A 25,965-nucleotide genomic window follows, 5' to 3' on the forward strand; every position below is an offset into this window, starting at 1 on the left:
CAACTACTTTGAGTTGTCTTGGCAATAGATTGAGGTTAAGATCAAGGGTCTCTGAGTCAGACAGGCCTGGGTTCAAATTCCAGCTCTGACACCACTGGCTGTGCAGCAATAATCATGGCTAATATTATTTGAGCTGTTACTGGGGTGTCAGAGAGAAGGCTGCCTGACAGGCCTAGGACGATGAAGCCTGCTCAGTACAACCAGGGCCACAGTGGGGGTGATCTCAATGGGTGACCACAGCCGTGGGAACCTGCCTTATCTATCCTCTCCACCTCTCCCTCCCAGCCCACCTCTGCACTCATCAGTGTGGGTGATTTCTTTTAATTCTCACAACCACCCTGTGGGGTCATTCTTGTCACCCTCATTTCACAGAGCAAGAGACTGATAATCAGACTCACTTGCTCCAGGTCACATGGCTAGCCAGTGGATAAGCCAGGATTTGATCTCCAAGCACTGAGTTCTTCTGCTCCTTATTCCAGAGGTGGTTGTGACATTAAGTGGCACATCTACATTAGCACGGCACTGGCACAGGTCATGCAGTCAGCAATGGTAGCTACTATGTTGCTTTTATCACCTTCTAAAGCCCAATTTGTTAGTCGCTTTTCCAATAAGCCCACCCTGATCTCTGCGGCCAGAGGCCGCCGTGTGTCCCAGCTCACGGTGCTTAGTAACTGCTGTCCTCTGTGTGCTATACCTCTCCTGTGCCATGGCCACCTCCCCTGGGGAGAGACTGCATCCTCTCCCTTTATGTTCACTCCTGGCAACCACCACACTTCTTGGCACATTGTAAGGCTGCAGTCAGTGTTTGCTAAATGGAATTGAGAGAAAACACTGTCAGCCAGATCAATTCCCAGAAGAAATGTTTTCCAAAGGTCTTTAGTCTGGGCACATCAATATAAAAATGACGCAGCTATAATTTGCTTTCAGATTCAGACTGGGAAGATGAACTTTAACCCTGTCAAAAAATGAGAACAAATTAAATTGAAGCACAAAGTCGTTTCCCTTGTTCCAGGGCTCTGGATTTCTAATTAATGTGCAGCACAATTCTGAAGGCTGCAAGGGGATCAGTAAGATCGTGTCCGTTACCTTGCAAACTGAGTAGAGCTCAAGATAGAGCTTTTTGTTTGCTTATTTGTTTTCCTTTCCTGGGATGTATTGTGCTTCTTGTGGTACAGGTTCATAGATGAGAGCAATCCCAGGCGATCAGAAAAAAAATGATTGCTAGAAGCTGACCTTGTACAAAAGAACACACAACAAAACAGCTCTCAACACAATCACTCCCCGACCCTGTCCCAGAGGATAGCAGCTTAGCCCCAGGAAGTTAGAAAAACCACAACGAATTTCAGTGGCACATGCTGAAAAGGTGACGGCCACCTTGTGGCAAGGCCGAAGAAGAATTCCCTCCGTGACTAAGTGCTGATATTTAACTCAGAGTTTTGGCAAGGCGGCTCTGGGGATTTGGCACCCAAGGCTCTGAAATATCAATATATGTTCGGAGACTGTGGTGAGTGACAAGGATCTCATTCAGGCAATAAAGGGGCAATCAAATTAAGTTACCAGCTAGGAAAGGAAACTGACCTTGAACAAAGGGCGAGAGTGCAACCTGGGGCAGAGCTGTTTCCAGGAGTTGGCCACTGCTCCTGCTTGCAGGTAATAGAGAATGGGGCAATGCTCTTCAACCCGTTAATCCCCAAACTTGCATGAGTGAGAGTCACCTGGTGTACTCATTAAAATTACAGGTACAGGTTGCTGGGCCCCACTCCAGACCCACTGAATTAGAATCTCTGACACAGGGCATGGGAATCTACACTTTTAAAACTAGTGCCCTGGATGCTTCCTGTGTTGATAAACCTGTGGAAATTACTGGCTAGAACACCAATACTTTCCTTATTGGATCCTCTGGTATACTATCTGGCCTTGGGCAAATTTTCCCTTCTCCAAACTTTCATTTCTATATCTGTAAAATAGGGATAGGGACCGCTGCCTCTCAAGGATATATTGTATTTGAGGAAGAAATAAAATGAGTAAGTCGGGGTGCAGACAGCACCTGGCACTTAGGAGATGTGCAGTGCATGTGAATCCTGCCCTTGTAGGTGTGAAGAGGCCACTGTCTTCCACATCAGGCCCCCAAAGATGCCTTAAATTTCTCTTTCTGCTTTCAAATTTTTGGCCCAGAGATACTGAGCATCAGCCTCAAATGCTCCTGCCCATCAGGGAGGATTACTGGGGTGAGGGGGTTGGGAGCTGTGCCCTTTCTGTGGAACCAGTACCACAGGACTCCAGAGCCCTCAGTGGCAGCAGGATATCATGACGGTTTCTTTGGGAAGCTCTGCCAGGAAAAGCCAGGGTCGAGTTAACCTCCCAAGTCCTTGATGGAATCAGCCCAGGCTGATGACTAATCTTCTAGGTTTCTTCTCCCCACTCCTGGCTCCTGCCAGGTCTCTTAACAATCCCAAAACAGTAGACCCGGTCCAGGGACAGGGGCTCTCAGCTCAGAGTAAGGCCTTGAGGGATGCGTTACCTCACTCTTGGCTCAAGTCTGCCAAGAGATAGGATTAACTGGGGAGTGGGGGAGGGCCTGGCAGTCAAGAGACCTGAGTGAGGAGACAACAGGCCAGAGACAGTGTGTGATAGGCTGAACTGTGTCCTCTCCAAATTCATATGTGGAAGTCCTAACCTCCATTATCTCAGAATGTGGCTGTATGAGGAGACAGGGCTTTTAAAGAGGTAGCAAGGTAAAATGAGGTCATAATTAAGTTAAAATGAGGTCATGAGGCTGGGTCCTAATCCAGTATGACTGGTGTCCTTGTAAGAAAAGGAGATTAGGACACAGACTTGTGTGAGCACAGAGGAGTGGCCATGTGAGGACAGGGGAAAGATGGCCATTACAAGCCAAGGGCTGAGGCCCAGAAGAAACAGCCCTGCCAATACCTTCATCTCAGATTTCTGGTCTTCAGAACTGTGAGAAAAGAAATTCCTGTTGTTGAAGCCATGCAGTGTGTGTATTTGTTATGCAGACCAAAGTCATACAGAGGGCCAGGGACTTAGGCTTTCATGCTGGACTCTTTTCCCTGGCTCTCTGGCTTGGATTTTGGGAAAAGACTCCCTCAGTTTTCTCATCGGTAAAAGAGGAAAACAATATTGCTTACAGGTTAACAGCACATCTCTTTTTTTTTTTTTTTTGAGACAGGGTCTCACTCTGTCACCCAGGCTAGAGTGCAGAGGCATGATCATGGCTCACTGCAGCCTCAACCTCCTGAGCTCAAGCAGTCCTCCTGCTTCAACCTCCTGAGTAGCTGGGAATACACCTGGCTAATTTTTAAAATTCCTTGTAGGGAGGGGCCTTGCTATGTTTCCCAGGCTGGTCTCAAACTCCTGGGCTCAAGCAATCTGCCTGTCTTGGCCTCCCAAAATGCTGGGACTACAGGTATGAGCCACAGCGCTCAGCCAACATAGGGAAATCTCAGAGGAGATAATACTATAGGTATGGCCTGGTATACAATAAATGCATGATACATGTAATCTCCCTTCCCTGTTTAATCGTGTCAAGTTTGGCCAGCCCTGTAAGCACTCTGAAAACCTCAGTTTTATCACATAGGATATGAGGATCACAACCCTTGTCTGCCTCATTTAATGGAGCTGGTGGGAAACCCAGTGAGATAACATAAGGGACAAGGTTTGAGAAAATATAAAGTACTTTATGGATGAGAGAAACCATGGCATCCAGGAAAAGCAGGATGTCACCTTCCCCAAGAGATGCTTTAAAATTGAGAAGTATAGAACACTAAAAAGAACAGTGGGTTTAGACACAGGCTTTGGGTCCAAGTCATAGCTCTGCCATTTCTGTGAAATTTTAGACACCTCACTCAACTTCAGTTTCCTGCCTACAAAACAGGGATGATGACAGCTGTGATGGAAGATGCTAATACTTTGCATTCAAATGTCCACCAAGTCCCAGGTGGTTCTGCGGACTTGTCCAACTCAAGAAGTTTTCCCTCCTGCCCCCAACAGCATCATGCTAAGGCAATGTCTGAGGAACCACTCCAGCTCCGGAGAGAAACTCTACTTCTTTCCATTCAGAATCCCATTCTGATACTCACATCGGGGGCTTCTAAAATCCTAACATAGAAGACCTTGGCATTGGCCTTCCTCAGCTTTCAACTGGACTGACAGAGCCCAGCCTTCTGCCACTCCACATGTGCAGTCCACACAGAGTCTCATTCTAAATCACAGTTGACCTCTAGCTTCTACCCGCCATCCATCATGACTCAGAATCAGGATGAGGGAGAGTATTTGGGATGAGGCAAAACCACCACAAAAAGCGTGTTCAAAAAAAATCTCTTTCCAGCAACTTGTATTCATGGGAGGTTGTGTGTAAGGCTGGGCCTCAAAGAGGGTCTGAGTAGAGGGGTGGATTTGCTGTCCTCAAGGGACTTCCTAATTCTAGGTCGTCTGGCTCCATTAACAAGCAAAAACATTAAGTTGTCAGGACTTGAACCACTGATCAGAAGGTGAGGTCAGAGCTTATTGATGAGCCATGGAGCATTAGCTCTGTAATTACCTACCAGTCAACAGCTGACTTGTCAAAACCACACTGAATGTAATTACTTTCCACTTTGCTAGACTGGAGAATGAATGAGGAAGACGGCCTAAGTCATCCTTCCAGTTTTGAGGCAACATTTTGAAAATCTAATAAGAAAGCACTCCTTGGCAGTCATATGGCATTCTAAAAATGTCCTGGAAAATGTGCCCAGAGAAACATTATTTCTCTGGCTCTGCAGGCATTCAGAATCTGGCTGCCTAGGCCACTGCGTATACAGTCCCAGAGACCCAGGCTTCACATCCCAGAAGGAATTGGGAAGAGATGAGGGATTTTCCTTTCCATGCCCAAGGGCTATCACTATGACTACAGTTAAAGACTCATGGGTGTGTCTATTCTGTGCTGAGCATCACAAAGTGCTCTCAGTCTTCACTGAAGTCAAACGGATTGGCTCCTTCTCTTAAGCCAAGTCTGTGAAGCCCTGGACAGTGGTGAAGAGAAAGCTTGCCAAAGAGGTCTATGTTAGTGAATAGTCCAAAGAAGAAGGGAGAGAAGGGGAAAGCAAAGCAGAAGCAGAGAGAATCCAAACATTCTCTGTCTTCAGCCCCCGCCAGAGCACTAACGTAGTCATAGGCTGAGTTCTGACCCCAGACTCAGCTGACACCAGGGCTAACCTTTGACTGGGCTATTCAACTAAGCTTTGCCTCAATTGTGGTTTGGAATGTGACTGGTAGTATGAGGATCAATTAGAGTTCAGGGAAGAACCCTGCTTATTTGGCCGTCCACTTGGAAGCCCGGAAGAAGGAGTCAGCAGGTACCTTAATTCAAGTGCCACTTATGCCTAACATTGTGAAAAGGCAACATGCATCTAACAGTTTAAAGAGGGTGGCCTAAAAGGCATCAGACACCAGGGTTAATCCAAAAATAAAAACTTTTTTTTTTCTTTATAGAATGCCAATCAGAAAACAAACTTTGAGATCCTTATCCATTAAAAATAAGGAAAAGAGAGAATCCAAGGAAAACTACTTTGGTGCTAGACTATAGGAAATCTAACTAGGGCAGAATCAATCTAGACTTCCTACAAAATGTTCTGTATAAAGCACCTTGCTGTGGTGGAAAGAAACAGGTAATCAGAGGGCCCAGTTCAATTCCTGCCTTCACTTCTCAGGCCTGAGAAAACACTGTGCAGGAGGAGCTCTGAAGGCAAATGACTCCTGAGGCAGGGCAGGTGAGTAAAGGACTGGAGCAGACACTCTGGAGATATAGGCTGAGGCAGAGACATGGTGCATGGTGCACACGGCCTGTCTGGAGGGGCCAGCCCTCCTCAGCAACTGCCAGGAACTGTCTGGTAGGAATGAGGCCCCAAGTTCCACGATCCTTTCATAGAATTTTTCAAATTTGAATCAGTCAAATGAGACCTTGACTTCTATATAAAATCTCTAATTTCTAAGTATTGGAAACTAACTTTTTAAATTAAAAAATAATGTCCATGGGGCTAATACATTTTTATTGTAAGCCATGGAGCCTTAAACATCTTACAGAGATGTTTTACTATCTCATTGTGTCAGTATAATTCATTCTTTAGGTCTCACTTGTCCCTTCTTAGGAATTAGACGAGAAGACTTCTCTTCAGCCTTCTGCCTGTGCCATTCCAGGAGTCATGACCCCCCCATAGCCATCATCTCAGGAAGCCTTGTCAGAACAAGATGCCTTGGGCTCCATGTGGGCAGGCGGGTTAATCTTCCACCCCTCCATATCACCAGGAGTGGAAAACTGACAGTACTTACTCCTAGCTGTGCAGCCTTTGAAAAATTAGAGTCTATTGCTGCATCTTTGAAAAAAGACATAGAAATGCTACCTTGAAGGACTCTTATGAGCATTACAAGGAGATGGCATATGAAGAACTAGCCCACGGCCTGGCATATGGGAAACTCTTAGTAAATGGTGTCTCCTTTCTTCACCTAGGAAGTAGGGGTGCAAGCAGGAAAATGAAAACTGAATTACCAAAATAATTAAATAAAATCTACCTCCCATGAAGTCAGAGCCAGTATCTCTTGATCACCAGCCTTAAGCTCTGGATCATGATGGCAATAGTCACAACTAAAATTGTTGTGGAGCAGCATCTTAGAATCTACTAAGCTCTGTCATGCATCATTTGCCTTTCACAAAAGCCCTCTGAGTTAGGCTTGTTGTTGCCCCCATTTTAGAGATGAGAAAACTGAGGCTCAGTATGGTCAATTGACTTTTATGTAACTGTTTCATTGAATCCCCTCCAAATCCCTATGAGATAGCCATTGTCATCCCCATTTTACAGATGACAAAACTGAGCATCAGAAAGGGGAAGTCACTCAGCTTGTTAATAACACAGCCAGGATCTACTGGTCCTTCATATCTTAGCTTAGTTATTACCGCCTCCAGGAAGACTTACCCACAGTCTCCTTGCCCTCACCTTGGTTAGGTGCCCTGCCTCTGAATCCCCACAGTCCACGCATGGCTTACTTCCTCTGCTGAAGCAAGTTCACATCAAATTGTTAATGAACTCTTTACCTCCCTCTCTAGATGGATGCTCTTTGCACTTTGTCTTGCTCAAGTTTGTTTAGAGCAGTGCCTGGCACATAGCAGCAGGTAAGGAAAATGTGCTGAATAAATGCCTAAGATTAGGACTCCCACCTCTGGCTTACCCATTATATCGTTCAGCACACAGCGCAATGCTTTGAACATAGAAAGTGTTCAATGAGAATGTGTTGAACGAGTAGAAAGATAACAGAAAGGAAGACAGGAGGAAGAAAAGAAGAAACAAGAGAAAAAAGGGACTAAGGAATACAAGAAGGACAGGCAGGTCTAGCTCTTTCTACCCAGCCAGGGCCCCCAAGGAGCTGTGACACACGGTGGGGACTTTCGGCCATGCACAGTTTGGTGGACATGGCCTCTAGAAGTCCTGAGATCTGCCATGGATCAGTTGCTTGATCTTGGTGAAGTCACGTCCTCGCTCTAAGCCTCAGTGTCCTCATCTAGCCACACAGTGTAGGATTCAACTCAGCAACCTCTGAGGGCCTAGTCAGTGCCCAGACTCTGCCCCAAGGCCATCCTGAGTGACTCTGGAGATACTTCCACAAGGATTGGGGGTCGCCCTTTGCCTGTCTGCATTGACAGGCCCCTGGGTGTGTGTATATGTGTTAGGGCTCACACCAGGCTTAGCTGTCTGGTCAGTACCAGGTAATACTTGCAGGCAGGAACAGTGAAACTCATAGGGAGGGGGGACCAACACAGAGGGGCAGGGGGTGGGGCAGCGGGGCAGTCAGGTAAAGGACAGACAGGCAGGGAGACACTCATGAAGTCAGAGACAGACAAACAGCGGCAGATGAAGCACAAGAAGAGAACCAGACCAATGTGGAGAAGGTGAGAGACAGCGCCGCAGGCACACAGAGAGCAAGGGAAAGAGAAGAGGAGGGGGCAAAGAGAAAGGGCTGGGAGGCAAGGCCAGGGGAGCTGCCAACCACTGGCATCAATTAAAAAGTTAAATGGGTATCCAGAGACTGTGAGGCTTGGGACAGAGCAGGGCTGCTTAATGGAGAGGAGAGGCGGTGGAGAAAAGGCCCCGGTGGGCCGCGGGTGGGCGGGTGCTCTTGCTAGCAGGTGATGAGTCTGTGCTGCGGCACCCCCACAGGCTGACGCAGGGAGGCCCTGTGCTCACACTTTCCTTCACCTCTCAGAGAAATCGTGGAGGCAGGGAGCGAGGGGAGAGGCCATCCATGCAAATGAAATGTTCTGGTCTGGTGATCTCAGATGGGGCTGACCAGGCTATTGTGGAAAAACTCCACAGACCAGGCTGGAAACCCAGATCTGCTGACCAGCAGCTGTATGACCTTGAGGCTACTTCCTGACCTCTCTGAGCCTCACTGTCCTCCTGTGAAATAGGGGCATTCGTGTGATCTGCTGCCTCAGTGCTCACAGAGTTTCCAGTGATTACACAGGGTGGTCTGTGGCAGGCCCTGGACCAGCACCCTCGGCTGGCACTCCTGCCTTCAGGTCCTGCTCCTGCAGACCTATCCGCAGGTCTGGCAGGCTTCCCTGAAGTTTCTGCTCAAGCATCAGCTTGCAGAGAGCCGTCCCTGGCCACCCTTGACAGAACAGCTGCTCCTCCTCCAGCTACTTCCTTTGTTGTCTTTTCTCCATAGCACTCATTACCCCCTGATGTGTATATATTTATTTTCTTTTCCTTCACTAGAATATAGGCTTTAGAAAGATGTAACTGTCATTTTATTTACTGCTGTATCCCCCAAACCTAGAACAGTAGGTATTAAATATTTGTGGAAGGAAGCAAGGAAGAAGGAAGGGAGGGATGAAGGGAGAGAAGGAGGGAGGAAGAGAAGGAAGGAGGCAGGAAGGAGACATTTATGCCACTGCATTCACAGGGTCCCTCAGTGGATCGTGAGAAACTAAACATGTTGGAAAAGATGATGGAGTTGAGGACCTCTCACTCCACTCAGTCTGGGCTGGTCCTCCTAGTGGGTGGGACCTAGAGCTCTCTCTATTCTCAGCCCTCCCTAAGCTTCCAGGGCGCTCCTCCTTCCTGCTTCCTCATCTCCATGCCTCCACCCTTGGTGCACCACCTGGGATCCAGAATGTATCCAACTGCTTCAGAATCCTGAAGATGTCTTGCCTGTCTTTAAGGCTTAACTCTTGTTCCATTTCATGCACCCATTTATTCAACAAAGACATTGCTGAGTGTTTGTTGCTGAGAAATGATACTATGATGTTATGCAGTCCTTGGCCTCTAGGGACCCAGACTCCCCCAGTATTAGAAGACAAGCCTCGTTCCCTTTGCTTACACTGCAGGAAAGGTCTGAACATTGCTGAGCCACTGCTAGCATCTTCACAGAAGATGACACAAAGAGCATTCCTGAGATTAAGGAAGGCCTCCCAGCTTTGGACCAAAAGCAAGCAAGGTCTTGTGGGTGGAAAATGGTTTGGTCAGAGAAACTCCACAGATCCAGGAAGAGCATTGCAAAGCTCTTTTTTTTTTTTTGAATTTAGAAATTCTAAAAAGGAGACACAAGAGGGAAGGGGAGCCTGTGGCCATCTGTGGGAAGAAGTGGGGGTGTCAGTTGCAGGGAGCAGGATCAGGATGAAAGTTTCTACTTTTGAGCCTCAGGCCCAGCTTGGCATCTATCAGGCAGTGGACATCTAGAACCCACTAGTATCTAGGACATTTAGGCAGGATCCCCATTCAGAAAGAAGATCCATTGTGGTGAAACCCCGTCTCTACTAAAAATACAAAACTTAGCTGGGCTGTGGTGGTGCACGTGTGCCTGCAATCCCAGCCACTCAGGAGGCTGAGGCAGGAGAACTGCTTAAACCCAAGAGATGGAGGTTGTGCCACTGAACTCAGCCTGGGTGACAGAGCGAGACCCGGTCTCAAAAAAAAAAAAAAAAAAAAGAAAAGAAAAGAAAAGAAACAAGATCCACTCCCTGTCATGGAGTCCTTATACTCAGAAAGCCCAGCAACATGTATTAACAGGAAAAGGACTGGGCCCAGACAGCTGCAACACAAGCCAGACAGTGAGGAGGCTGCATTATGGATGACGGTCACCTACCTACCTACCTACCTACCTACCTACCTTCCTTCCTTCCTTCCTTCCTTTCTTCTTTCCTTCCCTCCCTCCCTCCCTCCCTCCTTCCTTCCTTCTTTCCTCCCTTCCTCCTTCTGTCCTTCTTCCCTTCCTCCTTTGTTTCCTTCCTTTCTTTATTTTAACAAGTATTGCCCAGGCACTAGGGCTGGGGTAATCTTCAATGAAGAGGGTAGCCATCACTCACAGCAGCTGGGAAATGGGTATATCTGCCCATTAAAGGGAACTTATCACACCATGTTAGAAAGTTTTTTCATTATCCCGAAAGTACTGTGTGTGTTGGGATGAGATGGCCTGTGACTTGAGGGGTGAAGAGGCTAGTCAGATTTTAAAAAATAAAATTTAGCCAGGTGTGGTGGCATGTACCTGTAGTCCCAGCTACTTGAAAGGCTGAGGTGGGAGAATCACTTGAACGCAGGAGGCAGAGGTTGCAGTAAGCCGAGATTGTGTCACTGCACTCCAGCCTGGGCGACAGAGTGAGAGACCCTGTCTGAAAAGAAAAAGCAAAATCACTCCTGTTGTGGAGGAGAGGTGACACCTGGTCTGGAAGCCTCTGAGCCAACCCTCCTTCCTGAGTGGTTGCATGGGCTGCACTGTTATAACTCGTTATGGTTTTTGGGGGTCTCCCCACCACACCATCAGCACCTCGAGGTCAAGAGGGCAGCAAGTCTGTTCCTGCGCCATGGAGCCCATCACATGGCCCAGGCCTGGTTCTCAGAGTGTTTGCTAAATGAGTGATTGTATGCTAGTTGAATAAATGGAGAAAGTCAGGGCCCATCCAGGCCCCAGCCTTGAAGACTTGCATTAGTTTCACTGGACTGGAGGGTCATGAGCACCAAGTGTGTACTGAGCTGGAAGACCAAGTTTGAGTCATCAGTTCCTTTGATTCCCAGAACACCCTTTGATTTGGAGGATGGGGTGGGGGGCGCAGAGACTCTCAGTTTTATCATGTAATAGATGCAAAAATAAGGAGGCAACTTTCCCAAGGTTTTACATTAAACCAGGGGAAAGATTAGGATTCATTAATCCTAATCTGCCATCAGATGTCAGAGAAAGAAGGACCACTGGAGAACAAGTGTTCAAGCCCCTCCTTTTCCAGATGAGAAAACAGATTGCTAGAGAGGGGCTGAGTCCCACTAAGGGTCACACTGACATTAGTGGCAAGTCACATATAAGATGTTTTCACATATAAGATGTATTAACAGGAAAAGGACCTTTTCTACTTACGTCCTATTTTTCCATACAAAATAGGACGTAAGTAGAAAAGCCTCATTTGAACATAATCAATGTTGGAAATCTATCCTAGTCAGGTAGGAGAGTAAGCAAAGGGCTTAAAGCCAGACTTGGACCACCCAGCAGAAGAAATACACATGTCACAAAATGTACTAAGTGTGGCATCTCACATTTTCTAATAGCCCTCTTAAAAAAGTAAAAAGAAACAAGTGAAGTTAACTTTAATATATTTTATTTTAGGCCGGGCATGGCTCACGCCTGTAATCCCAGCACTTTGGGAAGCCGAGACGGGTGGATCACCTGAGGTCATGAGTTCAAGACCAGCCTGGCCAATATGGTGAAACCCCGTCTCTACTAAAAATACAAAAATTAGCCAGGTGTGGTGGTGCATGCCTGTAATCTCAGCTACTCCAGAGGCTGAGGCAGAAGAATCACTTTAACCTGGAGGTTGCAGTGAACTGAGATGGCGTCCCTGCATTCCAGCCTGGGCGACAGAGTGAGACTCCCTCTCAAAAAAAAAAAAAAAAAACACATATATGTGTGTATATATATATATTACATATATAGAAAATTTTACCAAATGTATCTAAAATATTTTAATATATAATCTATATTAAAATTTTTATTAGTGAGATAGTTATATTTTTTTATAAGCCTGAAATTCAGTTGTATATTTCACACATACAGCACATCTCAATTGGAAGAACCACATTTTAAGTGCACACACGGCTAGTGGCTGTGTATTGGACAGCATAGGATTAGAGTAATCAGGGAAGACTTTCAGGAGAAAGGAGTCCTGGAGGAAGGAAGAGTATTCAGAAAGGCAGAAAGGAGGCAGAAACCACGACAGATGGATGTAATGTCATGAGCGTTAAGAATGAGAATGTTCGCTCAGGGAGGTACTGGGCTGTCTGGAGTTGAGTCATGTGGGTGAGAAATTGGGGTTGGAGACCTCTGAGTATCTCCTCCCTTGTTCTACACAGTTCATTCCAACTGCCATGATCATTTGCATAACTCTATGGGGTAAAAAGCACCCTTACACTCACCATGCATTTATATCTTCACACCAGCCCTCTAAAATAGACCCAGAGCAGAAGACAGCTGCCCAGCCTCACATAGCTGTTAGTGCTGGAACCCAGCCTCCCTCCTCTCCCCTGCTCCTCTCAGAATACCAGCTCTGCCTAGAAGCCAAGGGCCAGAGGAATCTCTCATCTGAGCCCCACAAAAGCCCGTGCCTTCCACCTCTGTGCCTTTGCTTTGCCTTTTACTGGACCTACCTTCTCTCACCCTCCTTGTGGCCTGATCCTCCCGACTCTGCCCAACTTGGGTCTTTCTTCCTTTGGGAAACTCATTCCAACCCTTGTCATATCAGAATCCACACCATTTTTTTCTCTTCCATGCAATTCTACTAGGAAGAATCTGAAGTTTTATTGTAAAACAAGTTTCTAAAGATTTTTCTAATCAGGTTGTTACCTCCCTCCCATTCAAAGTCTAAGAGGGAGGAAGGAGAGAGGAAGTAGAGATACAGGGGGAAGGGTGTGAGAGACCCTTTACCAAGTCCCTGATGTGACAGCACAGAAGCAACTAATGGCATAGAGTGGTATTTTCAAAAAGAATGAAGCAAAATCTAGCCAGGAGTCCAGTTAATTACGAGCTCTAAAGAGGCACTGACAGCTTCCAGAACCAGTACTGGGGGCGGCACGCTGGGGAGCTTTGGAAGTCTGCCATGCCAGCCTCCCACTTGGACCTGCAGGTAATGCTGGGGAGTTGGAAAGGCTGTGCGCGCCTGTCTGTCGAGTCACCCACACAGAGAGCAATGCAGGAGGCGGAAAGAAGTCTGGGAGAGGAGCGTGGGCTGGCCACCCCCAACGGAACCATAAGGGGAGTAAACAGTCTGTTTGCAAACACAACTAGGACCCCTCTTCCCATCAAGGCAGAGCTGGATCCAAATCCTGATTCTATCCATGTGAGGACTGTGATATTCAGCAGGTCAGGGCTTCAGCTTCAGTCAGCTTGTCTATACAGGTGATCCAGGGGTGATCCAGGAAGTCAAAAGAGCTTGTGTTTGTTGTAGAGCTTGACACATTGCAGGTATCAGTTGTAGGCTAGTGACCACCTCTTTGGCTTTCTCTCTCCCTCCATCCTCTCACTCTCTCCTCTTCTTACACAGGGAAATGGATTAGGAGGGAATTATAATGCTCTCTGTAAGAAGCCCGCAATACCACCAATAGCAGCTGATACATATTGAGTGTTTACTCTCTGCCAGGCACTGTTGTAGTTTCTTACCTGGATTACTTCATATAATCTTCTGAATAACCCTATCCAGGAAGAGTAAGAACTCTTATTAACTGGCCCATGGTCACTGAGTTGGTAAAAGAAAGATGCAGGATTCAATCCTAGGTCACCTGGCTTTGCAGCTCCCACTGTTGATGTAGCCCACCAGAGATACCTACTCATTTCTTTGTATATTCAAAGCTCTTGGTTGCTTTCTTAAAGCGCTGATACTAATCCTTATCTGTTTGTCCTTGCTTAATCTCCTCAGCAAGTCCCCGGACCCTGGGCAGGGCTGGGTGTAGATTGAGTGCCCAGTGAGCATTGGCTGGGAAAGGGAGTGTATCTGAAGACTATTTGCACAGGAAAGATATTTAGTCCGATCTCACCATCAACATGACAGAGAGGAAGCCAGGCTAAACCAGAGGTTACATTTCTTGTCCCAGTTGCTTAACACGGTGGTGGATGAACAGAGAATTGCTCCCAGAGTCCTTGACCCATGGCTGACCTGCTTTCCCTGTCACAGAGCCCGTTTGGCCAGGTGGTCTCCGCGCTGACCTGTCGGCTGACTCCACAAAAGGAAATTTCACGGTGGCGTGTGTGCATGTAGACAGGTCAAGGCGTGCTTTCGTGCAAGGCAGCCTGGAATCAGCAGGAAGCTCTCCTGAACTCATCCCTGTGCCTTGCCAGATGGGCACTCTGCTGGGCAGGTCACTGCACCCACACTGTTCAACTTCTTCACAAGACCGCTGGCCAAAAGGAAGGATCCAAGAACAAGCCTGGTGACATCCATTTCTCGGTCACTTCACAGAACAGCCGTGGACCCCAAAACATAAAACCCCTTTCTAAGTCTGCAGGAAACCTGGAAGGGCACTGACAGCCTTCCGTGACTGCAGGCTCTGCCCTGATGGAAAGTGGGAGGCAGCCTGGTGAAGTGAGCCCTCCTGCCGGGTACTGGGCAGGGCTCCAGGGGGCCACGGAATTGCGAGGATCTGGATCTGGCTTCTGAGTCTGACTTACCCTGACCTGCATGGGCTATACTCAACCAACCCCAGTCTCTGGACCCACAAGCCCTTCTTACGTTCCGCCTTTGTACCTGCTCTGTCCCCTGACCTGATTTTTTCCCTATTCAAAAAAAAAAAAAAAAAAAAAGCGGCAGAGCCTGTGGTTTGGGGTGTGGCAGCTCTCACTGGCACTGCTCTCCTGGACTCTTGATATACTAACACATGTACAGGCAGTTGTCCTCCTAGTCCTGGTGCACAAACGAGCGTACCTCACCCCTTAGGAATCCTACAGCAGCAGAGAAACGGTGGTGGGTAGGAAAGGATGGGTGAGGATTGAGAGAGAGGATATGAATATCTGTATCTGACTATCACTGGAGATGCAGAACTACTGACAATGTTTTAAAAAAAGCATCATGGATTTAGATGCCAAGTTCACTACTTGCTAGGTGTGTGTGTAATTTAACTTCTTTAGCTATGTGTGCAAATTAACTTCTTTAAAGTATTGCCGTTCTTGATCACAAAATGGGGATAATCATCCTATCTTCCTCATAAGACTGGAAGAAATAAGATGAGATGCTGTATGCAATCCTGGTACTTTGCACAGTGCCCACCACAAAGTCAGCCCATGGTGACTGGGGGCTCTAGTTTCCTGCAATGGTCCTTTCATGTTTCTGAGACTAACAGTTTTCCTCTAGGAGCAAGGAGAATTGCTTCCTCTTTCCCTAATATCATGCTTAGGCATTCATTCATCCATTTATCCTACCAATATCCATCAGCTTCCACTCTGTGCCAGGCCCTGGGCCAGGCATTAGGGGTCCAGAGGATGATAAGACACCATCTAGCAAGACCCCTTGAAACTTTCCTGACTCTCCTCTTCTGACTCAGCTGCCCGACCCCCAATAACCCCCTCTAGCAAATGAAAGTCATTTTTTGAATTCCCACAGCAGCCTCTTGCACACACCTCTGTACAGCCCTCATCCCACCATTTTATAATCACCAATGTGCCTTTCTGTCTCTTGACCACATTAATTTAAATAAATCTCACTTGGTTATTCTAACCTCTCTCCAGTTACACTCCTCCCCACCCTACTGGCTCTTTTCTGTTCAAGGATTACACTATGGAAGATTCAAGAGCACGAGATTCTGTTTTTCTCAGAGTCCATGACTGTGTCACTCAGAGAATATAGGACTCTGTGACGGGGCTTTACCAAGATTCTAAACTTCAGGTTCCTGACTGGGAGAAAGTCCCCTGCTGGAAGGTGTCTGCTTCAATTCCCCTGCATTTGCAGAGACACACAGAGCCCTGAGAGCCTTCCAGTTCCTAGTTCCCCAGCTGGTGAAAGATGCCCACATCAGACTAATCACCTTCTAAACAAATGGCACAGTGACAAGCAGGGTTGGGGGAGAGCTGGGGCCGCACAAGCTGATGTTTTCAATTTAGAGGCCATGCATTATTTACACTGCCATTATTCCCCTCAATTTGACTTCACGCTTTAGCCCTAATTTCAGTATAATCAAAGCCAATGAATATTTAATCAGGATTGCTTCCAGAAATTGAGTAATGCCATTAACACAATGGCCTCAGGACTTCAAAGCTGCTTTCCTTCAAATGCATCTGACTTACACCTTTCCCCACCCCCTCCCCTTTAACCAGTTCTATTTCGGAATGGAAGGGAGTTTGGGACAGCGGACCGGCCCGTTACAGCTTTGCACAGATGTCAGAAAGGTGGCTGGTACAGGGGAGCAGTGCTGGAATGGGAGTTTGAACACTGGCCTCAGTGAGAGGGACTCAGAGGAGGACAGCTAAATTCTGTGGGTGGACCCATTTTAAGGCACCCCCATTTATGAAAATACCAAACTTTAAGCCACATCCCCAAGGTGCTGCAAAGACAGACTTTTAGTTTCTAAGCACAGCCAGGTTTGGTAAGTACTAGCCTAGACCACCACCAACCCCTAAACCTCCTACACCCCCATCCCCACTCTTCACCAAGAGTGGACTCCACTTGACCCACTGGCCTGCATGGCCAGGGAGTTCAGCGCCACCTGGATTCATCTTTAAACATCTCTGGTTGAAGGGCCTTCTCATTAGGAGCAGAAGCCCGCCTTCTAATGCTACAGGCTGTCTGCGCTGGCCCTGACCCTGTCCTGGCCCCACAGAGCCAGGGTGCTTCTTCTGTCCCAGGACAGCTGGGAAAGGAGGTATTCGAAATATTAGAGATATTTTATCTCTCTCTGTGTCCTCTCCCTCAATTAGCCAGCTGCCAGGTGCCCAGCTAGGGTCTGTGGGGGATGCACACACATCTGAACCTGCCTCCACTTACCCCCAAGAGGCCACGTGAGCAATCAGGTGATCGCACAGATTTTTCCAAAGCACTATTACACTTGTCACTCACGTTGAGCTTGGAAGGATCCACATCATCGAGCTGGTGACCTTCCCAAGGTCACTCAGCCAGGTGGCTCTAGGACCTGGAAGGATCTATGGGTGTTAGATGTTAAAACTAGGAGCTTTCTTAGGACCTTTAGGTCAACCTTACCATACAAAAAGGGAAATGAGGCCCAAGGTCATACCTGGACAGTGGGAGGATAGGGCTTCAAATACAGTTATTGGGGCCTTAGATTCCTTGCCTGATGTCTTTTCCTTTATAAAACCACCCCCACCACTACTACCACCACCTGTGGTCACCAATGCAGGAAGAAATACCCAACTGCTTGCTCACTTGAAAAGCGGGACACAGGACTGAGGAGATGCAAATATTTCCAGGAGGGGCTTCACTCAGCATCTGTTGGGAGATCAGGCATCACCGGAGTGAGAAAGTGAGAGAGTTGAGGAGTTTATAGAAATTACAGCAATGTGGCCTACAGAGATAGCTTGGTCTGTAGTGAAAATGAGAGGTAGTTGTGCTTCAAACACGCAGAATCAAGGGTAGCCCTTGAAATATCTTAGCCACCTCCCGGTGTCCCTGACTTCCTTCTCCGTGGCCCCTCCTCCCTGAGGAAGCCCTTGCTGACACCCTTTGCACTGGTGGGTGTCCCTCACCTCACTCCCACAGCTTGTGTGCTCACCTTCTCCCCCTCTATTGCCTACTGCATGCACCCAGGCCTCCCTCCCTAGACTGCAGACTCTTTGAGGGCAGGGGTGAGGCTGACATGTTTCTATATCTGGGTAATATTCTGTAGCTGTCACCAACTCAGCCCCTGCCAGTAGAGGATTCAGCTGCTCTTCACCAAGCAAGACAGAAGGTTGTCTAAGCTTTACTATTCTGAAGGGCCAGGGAGCTTACCACGGCCCGGGTTCATCTTTGGACATCACCAAAGCACCACCTGGTTCATTAGGAGAGGAAGGAATGAAAATGCCCCGTGCTGCCACCTGCTGGTGACTTCCAGCATGGCGCCCTGAGAATCCACTTTGTTCTTTCTACAGAAAGGCTAGGGAAAGGAAGGGATGTTTATGGAGCCCCTGCCAGGTGCCAGTGCTCTACTCTCTAGGTCTCACTTAATCTAGATAACAATTCTGAAGGGCAGGCATTATCTTTCCCATTTTACAGATAGGTAAAGTGAGGCTGAGAGAAGTGTGGTAATACAATGGTAAGTAGGAAGCAAAGATGAGACTTGGGTCCCCATCTACTGACTTCTGGTCCAGTGATTTTTCCAGTGCTTCAAAAACTAATCCAGATGAATGGATCTATAGCTGAGAGATTTCAGTACTGACCAGAAAGATAGAAATAGCATTACGGGTTTCTAGCAACTTCCTTGGTATCCCTGAAATCACACTATGTAACCATTCACCTACTCCATTAATTCTGGCCCTTGAGACATACCCAGAATAAAGATACAGAAAGAATGGTGACAGAAACCTCTCTAGATCTGGAGCCTGAAATCACTTAAAGAAGTTTGGGCAAATGTCCTGACACCTGGGTTGATGCAAGAGGCTAACTTCCTGGTGGTTTATGGAAAAGGTGGCTGAATATTTGAGAAAAAAACGTTATATGCAGCTTCTGAGCCTCAGCCACCCAGCCTGACTCTGGTCACAACTGGATCCCTCAGCCGGATTCCAGACCAAACCCCAAGGCCAGTTACCAAATGACTACTGTCACGGAATGACTCCTAAGGCTGGGCCATGGCTGGACTGAGCCTGGAATAGCCCAGGCTCTGGACTGTGTTCTCCCTCCACTGTACCCAGGCCATGGTGACCCTCCACTCTGGGAAATCTGCCTCCATACACACAGCTAAGCCTTGGTTTGGGGGTGACCTCAGCTAGGCCATGGGCACTGAGGATGGTTACCAGGCTTGGGGCCAGTCCAAGAAAAGATCAGTGGGATGCAGGGTGCAGGGAAGCATAGAGAAGCAGCAAAGAGGCTGGAGTGGACAGGGAAAGGTGGTGATAAACCAGAGCATGGGCCTGGCAGGGAGATGAGAAGAGGAAGGTCACTACGGTACAGTGGGAGAGAAGCCCAATAGCTCAGAGCCTTCAAAGACCTCCTTACCCAACACCAACATTTTGACTCAAAGAAAAAGGAAACTGCCAAGGCCACCTGAGATGTTGGTGGCCGAGACCAGATCAGAACCAAGTGCCTTTTGTCCTCATCCTGAGCTCCTCCACTGCTCACATGGGGAGCTGGATCACTGTGATGTTTCTGTCCTTTAGTCCTGCCCAGCTCACAGCAGCCCTGTGTACTTGTGGGCCACAGATTCTTATCTCCATTTGATGAATTGGGAGACCAAGGCTCATACAGGAGACAAACCTTGCCCAAGAAGAGGGCATGAAACTGAGCAGTGTCTCCTGGCCTCAAGTCCCACCTACTATGTGCCCAGCATTGGGACAGGTACGTTACATGTACACCATCATTTCATTTTCACAACACCCTGGCGAGGTAATGCTGTTGTCCTATTTTATAGATGAGAATGCTAAGGCCCAGAGAAGTTAAATAACTGGTCACAGAGCAAAAAAATAGGAAGGAGAGCAGTGTTTAAACCTAGGTCCAGCTGATCCCAAACTGCTAGCTGCCCTTAGAAGCTGGAATCACCTCCCCACATCTTTAAAACAATTTAACTCTCATTGGTGCTAGTAGGTTGGGGATCCTCTGTGGACCATATATTTCTCTAGCTGCATCTCTACATCCAAAGATTTTCCTGGTCTCTCATGCCTGCCTCTAGGAGGAGGACATCCATAATTCTGGTCCTACAGCCAGACATTGTCCCAGCATGTGGGGCTCAGCTTTCATTTCTATCCTGTCTCAGGGGGAGCTCTGCATAGGACCCAGGCTTTGGAGTCAGGCAGCAAGGGTTTGCCTACTGGCTAGGTTGCTTAATGCTCTGTGGTCTTAGGCATGATACAGACCCTTTTAGCCCCTGAGTTTTGTTCTCTGTAAAATAGGGACAATAATGCCTACTTTGTGGCGATGCTGTAAGAATATAAAATTCTTGGCACATAGTAGGCACTCAATTAATTATCGTTTGAATATTATCATTTTTACATTTATGTCTGTGTCTTTCTCTGTACAAGATACTGTTTGCTGTCATGCCCATATTCCATCAGCCCACCTCATGCAACCTGATGTTCAACTACCAGCATCTGTACCTGATGCCTCTCTCTGGCCATTGGAATCCACTCTGTCCATATACATGGCAAGACAAAGGTGCCAAAGAATTTACACCTTCTTCCCCAATCCAACAGCTCTCAATCAATGACTGATGAGAATTTGTGAATAAATTACCCTGGCTCTCTTACCTTTTGTTGGGGATAATTGCAAGGCATATTCTACACTGTCTCCCAGAGTGAGCAGCATTGAACCTCAGTTGTCCACAAAGGGTGAAGTTTTCAGTAACTTACCCTTGATTGGCTTCCTTCCCGTTTCTATCTTATTTCCCATTTCCTCCTGGTTTTTCTCATTTTCCAAAAAAATTACTTGCATTCAGGGTCTTGTCTCAGGGTCTGCTCTGGGATAACCCAAACCATGCACTCTCATGATACTATTTTTATTTTATATACATACATACATATACATATATAAATATACATTATATATATATATTTAGAGACAGAGTCTCACTACGTTGCTCAGGCTGGTCTCAAACTCAAACTCCTTGGATCAAGCAATTCACCTGCCTTGGCCTCCCAAAGTGCTGGGATCATAGGCATGAGCCACTGCACCCGGATGTTAATGACACTATTAACTCCTCTGTGCCCCTTTCCCTTCCCCTTGCCTCCACCTAGAAGGTGCCCAGCAGATAATTTCACACACAATAGAGTCTATCAAATGCCTGCACATTGCTCATAGGTTCCCTCCATTTTGGCTCCCAGGAATCCAGCTATTTGGGGCAATGTCTGTAGGGCAGTTCCTGAAGCTGGAGCAAGTTATCCAGCACATCCAGGCTCCCTCTGACAGTATCCTGTCCATGATGCTCCTTGTGCTCTTCTTCCAGGATGGTTAGCAAGGAGAGGGCTGCACAGCACAATTGAAATGCACAGCATTTGCATGGAGCATGGGGCTTTGTTCTGACAGCAAACAAGGGAAGTCTGCCATATGTGGAGGCTCAGCTATCAAGGGCTTCACTTAAGAGGAAATTAGCCTCAACATTCAGAGGAGGGAAATGTAAAATGATGTCCCCTTCTGAGAAAGGCAGTGTGTGGACCTGACAGGTAGGAGGGCATGTGTGGTCTCAACTGGCTGCCACACTATCTGCATGTCCCTCTGCTGTGTTCCAAGATTATTTCAGCATCCCAAGTGCAGGGCCATCTCTTATCTACCCACAAAAGAGCCAAGAAGGAAAGGAAGGGAGCTAAGAAGTTTTGATCACCCACCATGTGCCACAGACCTCATATACACTACCTCATCTAATCCCCAGAAAAGTCAGCAAGTCTGTAATTATTATCCCATTTATACAAGGCAGGAAACTGAGTCTCAGGGAGGTGATGAATACTGTCCATGGCAGGTCTTGCAGTAAATGGAGGAGTCAGGCTTCAAAGCCAGGTTTGTCTGACTCCACTATCTTTGTTCTTTCCCTTCTCCTCCCACCCCAACGAGAACACAGTGCCAGTGAAAGGGCTTGTAGCATCAGAGATAAGCTGAGATCAAAACTCTTGGCTGAAGTGCAGCGTGAACATTCTGGGGGATTTTTCTGTTTGCACTAATGCCCAAGCCCAGGAGTGGTGGGAAAGAGCCTTTGGTCCATCTCCCCATGACCCTCTGGCCACACCTGCATCTTTGCTCAAGCTGCCTCCTGCTTGGGATGCTCCTCCTCAGTCCCTCCCCTTTAAGAGCCAGCCTTAGTCTTCCAGGAAGCCTTCTCCTGCCCCTTCAGACCTCTCTTGCTTCTCTTTTCATCCACACATTCAGACCTGGGAAGAGGCAGCTGATCCAGGAGAACACCCACCCTGTGGGGTGGGGACACTGCTTCCTGGTCCTATCTGTGACTCTGTGTGACCATAGGCAGGTGTCTGCCTCATTTTGGTTCTCAGTTTCTTCATCTATAAACTGGGAAGAATAATACATGTTCTACCTAATACCAGATTGGCTTTTTTTTCTTTTTCTTTTCCTTTTTTTTTCTTTTCTTTTTTAGAGATAGATCTCATTGTATTTCCCAGGCTGGAGTGCAGTGGCTGTTCACAGGTGCCATCATGGCGCACTGCAGCCTCAGCCTCTGAGTAACTGGAGCTACAGGCACACACAGCCACATCCAACCCAGGTTGTTTTTAGCATCAAGTTAGATAATAGACATTAAAATGCTTTAAAATTGTTAATGTATAATACACTGGATGATGATTAACAGCACTGGGTGATGATTAATAACTTGATTCATACTGAGGGTGTGTTTTGTGCATTCACCAAATAGTTTTTGAGCACCCACCGGATGCCAGTTCCTTTGTTGGGTTTTATTGTTGAATAAAACAATAAAAATCCATAATTCTGAACTCTCAGTCTACTAGAGGAAATAGACATAAATGAATGAATGAATGAGTTAATGAACGAATGAAGCACATAAAATTACCCTTCATTGAATGTTATACTATTGGTATAGTAGCTGACTAGTAATATTTAACATGGCATCTCCCATCTTTCCATTAAAAATTTCATGAAGACATAAAATAACACAAAATGACAATAGTCATATGAATTGTCTAATTTGGGGGTGGGTAATTTCAGCACTCCACCTCTGACTATTCACCCCCATGCCAAACTGTGTGAAAACACTTTACTTCCTGCATGTCCTGTCCCTAAACCTTGGATGCATTGAGCAGGAAAGCAGGAGTCCACCGGTTTAGACGACCCGCCTTCTGCTTTCTGAGCCAGCCAGAGCCTGAGTCCTGCACTGCCCTCCCTCTCCCTGGCCCTATGTTCCCCTCTTCTTCTTCTTTGTTTTTTTTTGTTTTGTTTTGTTTTTTGTTTTTTGAGTCAGTCTTGCTCTGTTGCCCAGGCTGGAGTGCAATGACACGATCTCTGCTCACTGCAACCTCCACCTCCCAGGCTCAAGCAATTCTCCTGCCTCAGCCTCCCAAGTAGCTGGGATTACAGGTGCCCACAACTACGCCTAGCTAATTTTTATATTTTTAGTAAAGACAAGGTTCCACCATGTTGGCCATGCTGGTCTCGAACTCCTGACCTCAAATGAACCAACCGCCTTGGCCTCCCAAGCAAAAACCTGGGATTACAGGCATGAGCCACCGTGCCTGGCCTCTTCTTTTTTAACATTCACTCAGAAATGGCAACTCTAAGCATGCAGCACAACAGGAAGTAGGGGATAGGCTGGCATCCAGGAACACCTGGACACTTAAAGAAAAGCCTGGTAAACAGGGATGAAATAGAAAGTGCATTGGAGGTAGTGCATGCTGCAGGGAAGGAGGGTCTTTTAGGTACTATTCTGGGCAAGGAGGAAGTACAAATTGCATTTGATTCCGTAGTCAGAAAATCTAGAAGTTGACCCTGGAGTAAAACCAACTTCAGGCAGGCAAAATCAGCCCACAAACAGAACTGGGGCAGGGCACCTTGACTTGAATTTCAGGTCTAAATCTGGAGATGCACATCCCACAGTGAGGGGTTAACAGTGCTTTACTTTTAAGCTTCCTTTTTGCAAATGCCAGGTCTGCAGAGACTCTGCTCTATTCAAAGATGATTAAGCAAAACAAAATAAAACCTCCAAGAAACAAAAAATGGGCCTTTAAAGAGATACACTACAGCAAAAAGGAAACATTGCCCTAAAAACTTAGAGAAAGAGAAAGTTGAAAGAAAATCGAGAATGCTTCAGAGACCATCTGCTTGGTGTTCTTCAAGAGATGCAAGAAGACTTGGCTTCTAAGAAGAGAAGGAAGGAGGATAAGATAAAGGCAGAGATGCAAAGGAAGCTGAAAGTAAGACAATACGGCAAGTCGGGACAAAATAAAATACCACATTAAAATTCCCATGGCAGTGAGAAAAAACAGAATTGACACTGCAGAAAACTGAAACAGTGATGAGGACAAATTTGAGCAATTCTCAACGAATGCAGAAAAAGAGGTCATAGATGAAGATAAGAAAGGAGATGATAGATACAAAAGAAAAGAATAAGTCTAGATTCGAATTATCAATATTCCTGGTAGGGATGGGGTATAAAATAAAAAAGAAAAGTGACAAATACATAATAGGGAAAAAGGACTTTCAGATACAAAGCAAGTATCTACTTGAGTCAAAAGCCGAAAAGAGATCAGTGTTCCAGGCAATGTTAATAATAATAACCAAAAAGACATAGTTAGCTAGATCTTGGCAAAATAAACCTCAAGGGTTATGTGAACACACAGGTAGGAAAACAGGTGGGCAATTAAGAAACAAAAACCCATCTCTGAATTTTCCTTAGCACTAGAATCAGAAAAAAAGAGTTATCAAGCATTGAAGGGGATATCAAGAAAAATAAAAACATATAAAATTCTATGTTGTATAAAGAGAAGTAAAAAATTATTGCTTTGTTGTTAACTGATAATTAGAGAAATATAGATACACACCCATGCATTGCTAAAGGATGGGGATATGTTCTGGGAAATGCCTCATTAGGCAATTGCATGGTTGTACGAACAGCACAGAGTGTACTTACACAAACCTAGATGGTATACACTACTATATACCTAAGCTGTATGGTGTACCTATGGCTCCTAGGCTATGAACCTGTACAGCATGGTACTGTACTGAGTACTACGGGAAATTGTAACTCAATGGAAAGTATTTATGTATCTAAGCATATCTACACTTGATCTTGCCAAAAGGCCAAAAAGTGATCTATCTAGACATGTTTAAACAGAAAAGGTACGGTAAAATATAGTATAAAGATTTAAAATTGTATACCTCTATAGGGCACTTACAGTATAAAACAGAGCTTGAAGAACTGGCGGTGGTGAGCGAATGTGAAGGCCTTGAACATTACTGTGCACGAGTGTAGACTTTAGAAACACTGTTCACTTAGGCTACAATCAATTTGTTAAAAATATTTTTCTTTTTCAATAATAAATTAACCTCAGTTTACTATGACTTTTTTACTTTATAAACTTTTAATTTTTTTAACTTTTTGACTCTTAATAACACTTAGCTTAAAATACAAACACATTGTACTCCTGTACAAAAATACTTTCTTTATATCCTTATTCTATAAGCTTTTTTCCATGTTTAAAATTGTTAAGTTTTTTTTACTCTTTAAACATTTTTGTTAAAAACTAAGACAGGAACACACACATTAGCCTAGGCCCACGCAAGGTCAGGATCAACAATATCACTGTCCTCTACCTCCACATCTTGTGACACGGGAAGGTCTTCAGGGGCAATAACAGGCATGGAGCTGTCATTTCCTATGATAACAATGCCTTCTGGAATACCTCCTGAAGGACCTGCCTGAGGGTGTTTTTATAGTTAACTTCTTTGTATAAGAAGGAGTATCCTCCAAAATAATAATTAAAAGTATAGTGTAGGAAGTACATAAGCCAATCCCACAGTCATTCATTATCATTATCAACTATGACGTCCTGCGCATGATTGTATGTGCTGTACTTTTATATGACCGGCAGCACAGTAGCTCTATTTACACCAGCATCACTGCAATCATGTGAGTAATGCTTTCTACTACAATATAGCAATGTCTGCGCTGTCACTAGGCGATGGGAATTTTTCAGCTCCATTATAATCTTATGGGACCACTGTTGTACACACAGTCCATCTTTGACCAAAACATCATTATGTGGCACACGACTATAACTGTATGTCACACATTTTAAAGCATGCATTAGGGAATGAATTTACAAAGAGTACTTTAAACTTCTATATTAATTTTA

The 25,965-nt window shown here is 46.1% G+C and overlaps 1 protein-coding gene across 8 annotated transcripts in view, besides 1 other annotated feature; it reads right to left on the reverse strand.

Moving 5' to 3' along the window:
* Window positions 1-25,965, reverse strand: part of AGBL4 (AGBL carboxypeptidase 4) — a 1,501,444-nt gene that overhangs the window by 156,733 nt on the left and 1,318,746 nt on the right. Inside the window, exon 6 of one of the 8 annotated variants that reach the window (NR_136623.2) lies at window positions 10,537-10,660. The exons of the other annotated variants lie outside the window; for them this stretch is intronic. The gene's annotated coding sequence lies outside the window, so the exon portion shown is untranslated. The remainder of the gene's footprint in view (window positions 1-10,536; window positions 10,661-25,965) is intronic. 8 annotated transcript variants of the gene reach the window in all.
* Window positions 7,865-8,365: an enhancer, noted in NCBI's record as "H3K4me1 hESC enhancer chr1:49152780-49153280 (GRCh37/hg19 assembly coordinates)". NCBI's record gives its function as "activates a minimal SCP1, AML or CMV promoter by ChIP-STARR-seq in naive H9 embryonic stem cells {active_cell/tissue: H9 hESC(naive)}" and the evidence as "EXISTENCE:reporter gene assay evidence [ECO:0000049][PMID:30033119]".

The sequence above is a fragment of the Homo sapiens genome, chromosome 1, assembly GCF_000001405.40.
Source record: "Homo sapiens chromosome 1, GRCh38.p14 Primary Assembly".
NCBI classification, from domain to species: domain Eukaryota; kingdom Metazoa; phylum Chordata; class Mammalia; order Primates; family Hominidae; genus Homo; species Homo sapiens.